Source organism: Homo sapiens, chromosome 12, assembly GCF_000001405.40.
Source record: "Homo sapiens chromosome 12, GRCh38.p14 Primary Assembly".
In the NCBI taxonomy this organism is placed as follows: domain Eukaryota; kingdom Metazoa; phylum Chordata; class Mammalia; order Primates; family Hominidae; genus Homo; species Homo sapiens.
This window is the reverse complement of record NC_000012.12, coordinates 39,714,871-39,726,980: the sequence shown is the minus strand read 5'-3', so window position 1 is coordinate 39,726,980 and position 12,110 is coordinate 39,714,871. Positions and strand designations below refer to the sequence as shown.

The following is a 12,110-nucleotide window of genomic DNA, read 5'->3' as shown; positions in this document are numbered from 1 at the left end:
AACAGACACTTCTCAAAAGAAGACATTTATGCAGCCAACAAACACAGGAAAAAAAGCTCATCATCGCTGGTCATTAGAGAAATGCAAATCAAAACCAGAATGAGATACCATCTCGCGCCAGTTAGAATGGCAATTATTAAAACGTCAGGAAAGAACAGATGCTGGAGAGGATATGGAGAAATAGGAATGCTTTTACACTGTTGGTGGGAGTGTAAATTAGTTCAACCATTGTGGAAGACAGTGTGGCGATTCCTCAAGGATCTACAACCAGAAATATCATTTGACCCAGCAATCCCACTACTGGGTATATACCCAAAGGATTATAAATCATTCTACTATAAAGACACATGCACATGTGTGTTTATTGCAGCAGTATTCACAATAGCAAAGACTTGGAACCAACCCAAATGCCCATCAATGATAGACTGGATAAAGAAAATGTGGCACATATACACCATGGAATACTATGCAGCCATAAAAAGAGGATGAGTCCATGTCCTTTGCAGGGACATGGATGAAGCTTCAAACCATCATTCTCAGCAAACTAACACAGGAACAGAAAACCAAACACTGCATGTTCTCACTCGTAAGTGGGAGTTGAGTTGTGAGAACACATGCACACAGGGAGGGGAACATCACACACTGGAGCCTGTTGGGGTGTGGGGGGCTAGGGGAGGGAATAGCATTAGGAGAAATACCTAATGTAGATGACTGGTTGATGGGTGCAGCAAACCACCATGGCACATGTATACCTATGTAACAAACCTGCATATTCTGCACCTGTGTCCGGAACTTGAAGTATAATTAAAAAGAAGAAGAAGAAGAAGAGGAGGAAGAGGAGGAGGAGGAGGAGGAGGCAGCAGCAAAAAAAGAAGAAAATTAAAAGAAAATAGAGACTGGGAAAAATAGTTTTGCTGGTACAAGTTGTTTTGAAAAGGCAAATTTGTTCCACGTGACTGACATATTAGGAAACAATTTGAGCATAATGCAAGTATCACACTGGCTGATGTGCAGTTGTGTCCACAAGAAACACCAGGTGAACACACAAACCTGTACCCATCAGAACTGAACCACATAATACACAAAATGAACACACACACACCCCTCAGACACCTACCAGCTACCTCAATTCGCTGTGTGTATTATCTCATACGGTTGTGTTTTGCTGTTCTTTCACATTGTGGACATTTATAGATATCAATTATATAATTATACATAGGTTATTATATATATTATACATATATAAAATATACATGAATAAATACAATCAGTCAACATCCTAAAATATCTATGTGTCCTGATTTTAAAATGTGCATGACACAGAAAGCATTAAGTATTAAAGAGGAGCTTGAAATAGCCTTTTGAAGGAAATGAGAGAACACGTGGTACCTCTTGAGCAACAGGCATAAAGGAATACATATTGTAGACCAACAGAGACAGTACTGCGAAATAAAACAAATTCCTGTTGCTAAAGCCATTTCAAGTGCTATGAAGTCTATAAGAAGGCCTAAAGACATATGAGAAATAGGAAAATAGTTGAGCATATGGGTTGAAAAGCAAACAGGGATACAATCAAGAAAAACCTTTCCTACAGTCAAAGAGAAAGCACTTATCTATATACAATATAAAGACCCTAAATATGTCACCAAATCCTACAGAGCAGATCCTTCATGCTAGTAGTGGCTAGTTTGTGATTTCAAACACTGTTACAGCTGTAGGGCTGGAAACACAATTTTGGAATGACAATTATTTTGTCAGCATTTGGAAGGTATTATTACACTGTCTTTTAGCTTCCATCATTGCTGTTAGTAAGTCATATGACACTGTAGCTGTCTTTTCTAAGAATGTAGTCTTTTTCTCTTCAGTGGCTTTCATGTTTTTCATTTGACTTTGAGGCTCTGTCATTTTATTATGTTGGGACTAGAATATAGATTTCATTTTTTTTAATCCCACTTGGAAATTGCTGGTCTTCATGAATCTGTGGATTATATAATAGATCCATTCTAGAAAAATTCTCAGCTATTATCTCTTCAAATTATGCCTCTATTCTCTCTCTCTCTCCTATACTGTTGATACTTCAATTAAACATATAAAGCTTCTCACACTGTCCTTCTTATTGTTTAATTAATGCTCTTTCATATTTTCTATTTCTTTTTCTCTTCTGGCATTCTGGATAATTTATGCTTATATATATTTCACTTCACAAATTCTCTCTTCACCTGTATCTAACATGCCACTTTGCCCACATATTAAATTTTCAGCAGATGGCAGAAATGGAAATCTGAGACTAGAGAATGGTAAAACTACAAAAATTAGCAATGTTAACCTTTTAGTTATACCTATAAAGCCAATTCATCCATCTACTTGTCATAATCTCTGCCTGTCTTAATTTGACTTGCCCCAGAAACAAACAATGAGACAAGGATTCAAGTACATATAGTTTGTTTGGGGTATGATTTCAAGAAACGCATAGAGGTGGGGAGTGAGACAGATGGGAGAAGAAGGGAAGTGTTGGTTATTAAGCAAGTTACCATTGTGAGCAACTTAAGGTTAATCCTTCTGAGGAACTCAGCAGGAATAGTGTTTTCCAACATGAGAGGGCACAGACATCACTCTACAGATTCCCAGGACCTACTGCCTGAGATTTTGATTCAGTAATTTGGGGGTGGGTTCCACAAATTTTAATTACTAACCAGTTCCCAACCAATATCGATGCTACTGTTACTGGTCAGTGGATACTTTGAGTAAGCAGAGTTGTAGAACACACTTTCAAAGACTTATCCCGCCCAAGAGGCAAGGGAGGAGTATTTAACCACCAATTCCCATCAGATATTGTTTAAAACGACTGCGCTCAAACAGCATTAACACTCTGGTACTTCCTCTGCCTCCTCCTAGGCAGAAGAGGTATCTGCAGCCAAAAGACACCCCTCGGGAAATGAGTCATGCACTGGCAGCTGCAAGTCAGGCTGGTATGTATGAAAATGAGGGATGCCCAAGAAATGTGAGCTGGGCACAGATAGCATTTGCTACATTGCTATATTGTCACGGAGGAAAATAAACAATTAACCAAGAAATTATAAACAAATTGCAATTGTTATAAGTGCTTTAAAAGTAAATTACATGAAACTACCCGTAAAGATAGCCTCTCATCTTATTACAGATGGAAACTTCCTAGAGTTGTTGTGAACCAAAAAAATGTACTGTTTCACAAATAGGGTTAAACACCAACTCCAGCCCAATACTGTATAGCATTGGCCCTTACTGAATGTATAGTATCTTATCTGAAGTCACTCTGATTGGCAGTTTACATTAGAAATGTGTGCAGAATCATTAAATTTTCATTTTGTTTCATCTGGGTAGAACCTAGCTAGGATTTACTCTGCTTTATAAACATTAAATTACAAACATGGAATGAAAACAATGTTTATTTCAATTGCTTTTTATTTATATTTTCATCAGTTTCACCGAGAAAGCCCAAACCAGTAATGCATTTTGAGAAGTATGTTATAATTACATAAGATGGCTTATTTTGCAAATCCATACTCACTTTCCACTCTGAATATATTTATCTCCTTAAAGCGTCTAAGGAATTAGCAACTGTGAAGTTAGGGAATAGACCATAAAACTGCCTTTACTTCTGACACCAACAGCAAGTCTGTGAGTTCCAAGACCACCCTCAGATTTGGTAATTCGTTAGAAGGACTCACGGAACACACTGAAAGATATTATATTCACAGTTATAGTTTATTATAGTAAAAGGATACCAGTTAAAATCAACCAAGAGAAGAAACACATCGGACAGAGTCTAGGAAAGTAATAAACAGGGAGCTTTCAGTCATCCTCTCTCATGGAGTGATGGACAGCATTACTTTTCTGGCAATGACTGACAATTCACATGAAGTATTGCCAACCAGGGAAGCTCACCTGAGCCTTGGTATTCAAAGTCTTTACTGGGTCTCAATCACAGCGGTGTGGCTGACTACCCAATCTCAGTTTCTGATCCCTTAGGAAGGCAAGCTGTTATTGCTTTACTCAACGTCTCCATCCTAAATCATATTGTTACTATCTAAATTGGGCCAAGCTTCCTAGGCAAATAAAGACACTCACTAGCCATGACATTCCAAGGGCTTGGAGGTTACCTCCCAGAAGCCAAGAGTAAAGGCAATACCGCTTTTGGGGCAAGATTAAATTCTTTACTGCACTACACTTTACTCTGCTGTCACTGTAAGTGGTCACTGCATTTTTTTAAAGCCCTGAAATTCCTCATCTTACAGAGCTTAACTGCTACATTATGATATTGATAAAAACAGAACTAGGTGTGTACTTTCATAATTAATGTACTTTCAATATTGCTAGACTTTGATGCATATTTGGAAAAATATCAGTTTACTTGATATTTGAAACCAACCCAAAATTCACAGCTCAAGTTTATTCTACTGTCATCATTATAGTCTTCTTTTTCTATGTATCAGTGTTCACTGCTATAGTATGCAATATTTTTGCAAAATAATGCTCAGGATAACCAATCCACAGTGGAATACCTTTCATTTAGTATCTGGATAAAATCTGGCCTTTTGAAAAACTATCAACATACATATATCAGATAATTATATTCCCCTTCCATGAGTTGATCATTAAACTGGAAGAAAATACTTAGGAGCTTATTGTGCTCTGTAAGATAGCAAAAATCACTTCCTAAAACTAGCTAAAAACCTGAAGATTGCTACTATTTAAACTTTAGCTGTTGGTGTCTCCAAATTGCAATGCCCCAAATCACCTCTGCAACACAGACTCTTGAGTGATACATCTGTGTATAAAAATGTAACATGAAAACATTGTTTTCTTTAAAGGCAAAGAAACCTCTAACAATTTTATTTTGGGTTCAGTTAGATACTAGAATGCCCTCTGCTGTGTACCATGAAATATATCAAAACAAGTGTCAATTTTAGAGTACAAACATTTAAAATCCTTATACAAAATAAGTGTTGTCTTAGAAACAAAGCCTATATTTTAGAATAGGAAATCTTGTTATAATATTTATGAAAAGAATCTTAGCAACACTAAAATTAGTAACATAAATCATTTTTTAATTTCAAACAATTATTTTATAAAAACATTAAAACATCTTTTAATCCTACAGAACATTTTCCTTTGAATTAATAGCACCAACAAAAAAACTATGTTATGCAAATAGAAGATATGTGTTATCTACAAATTAATGCTAGAATTTTTAAATAGGACTGTAATATTAAAGAGAAGTAGCTAACAAAATTATTATAATGAGGACATAAAATATATTAGGTATTATTTTCTATCTTAAATATCTTGAAAGGGAACATTTTTGCCAGAAAATGCAACTGCAAAGAATATTAAAATAAATGCTACAAGGAAGGAAGCAATTAAGCATATTTTAACCCATAAATAACAGCGCATCATTGTAATATACTGAATAATCACATAAAAACGCTAGTACATTTACAAATATATTATTTTCTAAAAACTCTACCATATACCAAAGCTATTAAGGAAATGGCTATATACAAATTAAATACATACATTAATAATATTAAAATGTTTTAACATGAACCGTGAATATACACCCTGAACACTGTCAGCTTATGCTTAGCTACTTTTTCTCATTTCTTATCATGTTAATGAAATTTTCAACATTTACTGTTGTTTTCTAAGGGCAAGTGAAATTCTACATCCTAGGTAGAGATTTTAGAATATTAGTTGTTCTTATGGATTTCCTGCCCTCCAGTGGTATCTGCCTTAATATTTCCACTGCACCTTTCAAGGTTGCAAAGAGAAACATCACTTCTACATGTACATTTTGAAATTAGATCACACTGTATGGCAACATCTAATTTTTCCTCCATTACAGATTCACTCTCTGTTTGTATCCCTGCATCACACCTTGCAGCCTGCAGAACGCAGTTATCATTGGTTTTGTTTTGCAAAATGTGGGCTGAATTGCACTGCAACTGTGGAAACTGATCTGTATTATTTTTCACTGAGAACTGGTAGAAATTCTCATTCTGTTTGTGAATTTTGTCATCGTTTTTAACAATCCTGTCACCTGAAAGTTTTGCCATCCTTTCTACATAAAAATTATTCATTTTTTCCTTGGTTTTGATGGTCATCCTATTTGAATCTTCAATTTGCTGTGATATTTGATCTTCATCTTCAGATGGCTAAAAAGAAATTAATAATTTTGCTCTAAACCATGCTTACATTTTAAAAATGCATTCAATCACTTCAAAGAATATATTCTTAAAATCCCAACTATAGAAAATTTCTAAATACAGAAGAGAGTTTGGCAAGTTACAAATCAAAGCAGGTATATCATCAAAGAGTCTTCAACCAATAATCTGCTATACCTCCCAGGAGGCTATGAATTCTAAAATAGCAGTAACAATAATAATCTTTGTAATAAAAATGCAAAAGAGGTAAAAAGGAGACGAGAAATTTTGTCTTTTATTAGTCCCTATAATCACAGGCTCTATCATCTCTCTACCCTTTCAACAGAAGAAATGATATGCAGCATACTTCCTCCACTTAAAAAGAGTAGACTAGAAGAAGTACCTTCGAAGGAAACAGCTAACATATAACCTGTTCAATTATTTATTGATTCATTAAGTAAAAAATAACTACTTGTATGCTTTTTATGGGCCCAGTCCAATGAAATATATATATATATAATCTTAAGAAGATAACATAACTTAAGAAGAGCATCAGGTAATAGGAAATTAAATAGACAAAGAAAAGTTAAGTAGCAATACATAAGCAATACATATCTCAACTGTTATATAAAAAGACAACCTTTAAGAACTTTTTTTAAGAACTTTTTAATAGGTCTAGATTTCAATTTTCTAAGCATAAATTTTTCAAACTTCTTGAAAAATTTCTTTTAATTACTGAATTAATGAAAATATTCTTTTAATGAAAATCTTATATAAAGTATTGATTATTCAAGTTAAAAATACAAAGTTAATATAAAAAACTAAATATAAAAAGGGGTATAGGCTTTAGCTGATTGACACTGAAAAATGTATATTTCAAAATAGCTAGTAGATACGTCTTAAAATGGTCCGAACACAGAGAAATAAATACTCAAGGGGATGGATATCCTAAATATTCTGGCTTGATCATTACACATTTGAGTCATGTAACAAAACATCATATATACCCAATTAAATACGTACAAATATTATACATCAATAAAAAATAAAAGGTAAATCTAAACATGCTTCTTTAGTGATGCAATTTGAGTTATACTCTTTCAGAGAATTGAACTGTTTAACAAATAGACAAACTTGTAATCTAGTGTTGATAACATGTTATTGGTGATTTTTTTTTATTTTTTTGAGACAGGGTCTCACTCCATTGCCTGGGTTGGAGTGCAGTGGCACAATCATGGCTCACTGTGACCTCAACCTCCCAGGCTCAGGTGATTCTCCCACCTCAGCCTCTCCAGTAACTGGGACCATAGGCACACGCCACCATGTCTGACTAATTTTTTGTATTTGTTTTTGCCATGTTGTCCAGGCTGGTCACGAACTCCTGGGCTCAAGCAATTGCCCACCTCAGTCTCCCAAAATGCTGGGATTACAAGCATGAACCAACATGCCTGGCTAAGTGCTATTTCTTATCTTTGTTCATAAATACTTATTATAATGTGTTTATGCATACACATTTAAAATGTAATTATAAGCAGGATCCTTTAGAAATGCATTATTTGCTCTTTTCTTTCAGGGAATGGAACTAGTTAACAAAGAACACTGTAATATAGTGCTGAGAACATGCTATTAAAGGACAGTCATCTCTTCCTTTCTAAGGCCTCATTTGCATGAGTTTACATATACACAAGCAAAAGCTAAATCTACGTACAGTTCTTTTAAAAAAGAAAGAAAAGGAAACTTGTGAAGGAAAATGTACTTTTGTGAAATACCTTTTTATGTTGTATTAAAAATGTAGCTTTTATGTGGGTGCAGGATTGCTATGACAAAGGCATACCGTTAGATGCTAATGTGATTTGAGAAAAAGTGAAGCCATTATATGACAACTTAAAGCAAAAGGAAGCTGAAGGATCTAATGCTGGAGAATTTAATGCCAGCAAAGCATGGTTTGATAATTTTAGAAACAGCTTTGGCTTAAAAAATATCAAGGTAATAGGGGAAGCAGCTTCTGCAGACCAAGAAGCAGCAGACACATTCCCAGATGCCTTTAAAGAAAATCACTGAAGAAAAAGGATATCTGCCTAAACAAGTTTTTAATGGAGACAAAAGTGCCCTATTCCAGGAAAAAAAAAATGTCACATAGGATATTTATTAGGAAGGGAAGCAAGCACCAGGATTTAAGGCAGGATGGGATAGGCTAACTTTACTGTTTTGTGCAAATGCAGTCAGGTTTATGACCAAGATTGCCCTTATTTATAAAGCTGCTCACCCTCAAGTTTTGAAGGGAAGGATAAACACCAATTGCCAGTTTCTTGGTAATACAATAAGAAAGCCTGGAAAACAAAAATTCTTTTTCTGAGTTGATTCCATCAGTGCTTTGCCCCTAGAGTCAGTAAGTGCTTTGCCAGTAAGGGACTGCCTTTTAAAGTTATTTTGATATTGCTAATGCCCCTGGCCACCCAGAATCCCATCAGTTCAACACCGAAGGCATCAAAATAGTTTACATGTTTTGAAGCACAACATCTCTAATTCAGCCTCTAGATTAGGGAGTCACAGTGACCTTTAAGGTTCATTATACATTGTGCTCTATGGAAAGGATGGTCAATGCGATGGGAGAGAACCCAAGAGAGAGAACATCATAAAATTCTGGAAGGATTATACCATTGAACATGCCATTACTGTTATAGAAAAAGCCATGAACATCATCAAGACTCGGAAAAGAAATCCCTGCAGAAGAAAACTGTTGTAGATGTTAAACATGACTTCATAGGATTTACAAGAGCTAATCAAGAAAATCATGAAAGAGACTGTGGATATGGCAAAAAAAAAAGGTGAAAGGTGAAGGGTTTCAAGATATGGAGGTTAGAAAAATTAAAGAGCTAATATATACCACTCCAGGGGAATTAACAGAAGACAACTTGATGGAGATGAGTACTTAACAACCAGTTACAGACAACAAGCAAGAAGACATAAAAGAAGCAGTGCCAGAAAAATCTGACTTTAGACAATCTGGCAGAAGTGTTGATTACTCAAGACCTCTTTTGATTTCTTTACGACATAGACCTTTCTATGATACAGGCTCTGAAGCTAAAGTAAACAGTAGAAGAAGAATTGGTACCATATTAAAACATTTTTAGAGAAACGAAAAATCAAAAGTCAGACAGAAATAACGATGTATTTCCATAAGTTACACCAAGTGTGCCTGCCTCTCCTGCCCACCATTCTACTTCCTCCACCTCTTCTGCCTATGCTACCAATGAAACAGCAAGACCAACTCTGCCTCTCCCTTCTCCTCCTCAGCCTACTCAACATGAAGATGATGAGGATTATGATGATTTATGATGATCTATTCCTACTTAATGAATAGTAAATATATCTTTTCTTCCTTAAGATTTCCTTAGTAACGTTTTCTTTTCTTTAGCTTACTTTATTGTATAAATATAGTATATAATATATACAACATACAAAATATGTGTTAATCAACTGTTTATGTTATCAGTAAGGATTCTGGCAACAGTAGGCTATTAGTAGTTAAGTTTGGCGGAGTCAAACCTTTTATTCAGATTTCTGACTGGGCAGCATCCCTAACCCCTGCATTGTTCAATGACAAACTGTACACACATAATGTGTGTGTGTGTGTATGTGTGTATATATATAACATATATATGTATATATATGTATGTATATAAGGTATCTTGATAAAAGGATAAAAGGTGTTTTGTAAATGGCAATAAATGCATTTTTACAAATGTGAAAAATGGTACTCATGGACATTTTTATTTACATTTTTCTTTTCTACATTTTTAAATGTACTTTTTAAAATTTTTTACCTTTTTGTTTATATTAATTTTTACTTCCACTATTTAATTGACTCAACAGTTTTATAGGGTAAAGGTAAACTATGAGAAAAACAAATAATTATTAATATAGCATGTATTAATAAGTGAAACAAGCATCACTTACCAAATCTGAACTAGAACTGAAACAGCTGTCTGTTGGTCTTGGAGAGTAACTAGTAGACCGACTACTCTGTGCAGAATCAAGAGCTGAAAATAAAGGTTTAATACATGAATAATGGTATTTATGAATAATCTACAACATACATATGCCAGGCAGAAGATATCTGCTGGTAAAACAAATTTAGCTAACAACACAAAACACTTTAAAATGTACCAAAATTAGTTAAAATTGTGGATACTTGGCACCTTACAATTCTGACAGGATTTCTGGGTTTATTTTACCCTTAAAAGATTTGTAGCTAGAAATGAAATAAGGGTATATAACGTAAGTGAAGAAAACAGAATAGAGAAAGTTGGATTGATTTTTCCAACATATGCATTATATTTTATGAACTAATAATTTAAAGTGTTAACCTGAGGGAAGGAAGAGAAAACCAAGTTATTAAGTCCTAAGGCATCAGACATTTGCCAATCTAGTAAATGAAAGTTTACTGTGCAATCAAAAGATGCGAATAAAACCTATTCAAAGCATCCAGTTTGATACATTTTCATTATCTGCTTAATATTGTTATTTTACAATTGCAAGTAAAGTTTTAAAATGGGATTGAGATGTAGGTCATGAATCCCTACTATGTATAAATGATAAAGAGCAACCGTAGCTTCAACCACTCCTGTTCCCTTGTTTATGAAAATGGGTCTGCTATCAAGAGAAGCAAAAGGCTGCAGAACATGAAACAACACATACCAGATCACATGCCCTACTATATGCAATAAACCATGAGTACCTCAGGCCAGGACTGATGCTCTCTGTAACAGAATCTAGCTTCAGTCAGCTGAGAGGCAGAGAGAACTTAGCTGAACTCTGATACCCTTATTTCATCATTCTAGAAGGAAATTTATACCCCCGAAAAGCAGGTTTCTCCCTGACAATGAAAGTAGAGTGCACAAAAGTGAAGGGTAGAATATCACTACTAACAACATAATTTAAGGGCATTTCACCCCAATAAGGTTCATTCAGTCCATAAGTACTATAAATCCACCATGATCAGAAGGGAAGAAATTTGTCCACTGAATGAATGTTCTCACCTTTAACAGTACAGCAAAGGGCATGCAAATGAAAATAAGTACAATTAAACACTCGTTTTGGTGACCATGGCCTTATGGTATAGTTTGAAATCAGGTAGTGTGATGTGTCCAGATTTGTTATCTTTGCTTAGTCTTGCTTTGGCTATGTGGGCTCTTTTTCGGTTCCATACAGATTTTAGAATTGTTTTTTCTAGTTCTGTGAAGAATGATGGTGGTATTTTCATGGGAATTGCATTGAATTCGTAGATTGCTTTTGGCAGTATGGTCATTTTCAAAATATTGATTCTACCCATCCATGAGCATGGGATGTGCATGGTACTGGTATAAAAATAGGCACATAGACCAATGGAACAGAATAGAGAACCCGGAAATAAACCCAAATATTTACAGCCAACTGATCTTCAACGAAGGAAACGAAACATAAAGTGGGGAAAAGAAACCCTTTTCAACAAATGGTGCTGGGCTAATTAGCTAGCCACATACAGGAGAATGAAACGATCCTCATCTCTTACCTTAGACAAAAAATCAACTCAAGATTGATTAAGGACTTAAACCTAAGACTTGAAATTATAAAAATTCTAGAAGATAGCATGGGAAAAACCCTTCTAGACATTGGCTTAGGCAAGGATTTCATGACCAAGAACACAAAAGCACATGCAACAGAAACAAATATATAGCTGGGACCTAATTAAACTAAAGAGCTTTTGCACGGCAAAAGGAACAGTCAGAAAAGTAAACAGACAACCCACAAAGTGGGAGAAAATCTTCACAATCTATACATCTGACAAAGGACTTATATCCAGAATTTACAAGGAACTCAAATAATTCAGTAAGAAAAAAACAAACAATCTCATCAAAAAGTGGGCTAAGGGCATGAATAGACAAT

At 34.9% G+C, this 12,110-nt stretch overlaps 1 protein-coding gene across 4 annotated transcripts in view; it reads right to left on the bottom strand.

Moving 5' to 3' along the window:
- Positions 1 to 12,110, bottom strand: part of REDIC1 (regulator of DNA class I crossover intermediates 1) — a 282,118-nt gene that overhangs the window by 181,320 nt on the left and 88,688 nt on the right. For 3 of the 4 annotated variants that reach the window (NM_001031748.4, XM_005268806.4, XM_011538231.3), the window contains 2 exons: positions 10,143 to 10,225; positions 5,067 to 6,194 (listed from right to left, as the gene is read on the bottom strand). In NM_001031748.4, coding sequence (NP_001026918.2) covers positions 5,730 to 6,194; positions 10,143 to 10,225 — 548 coding nt within the window. In that variant the 3' untranslated portion in view covers positions 5,067 to 5,729. Of the gene's footprint in view, positions 1 to 5,066; positions 6,195 to 10,142; positions 10,226 to 12,110 lie in introns of those variants that run through there. The other variant, NR_135051.2, reaches the window with a different exon arrangement.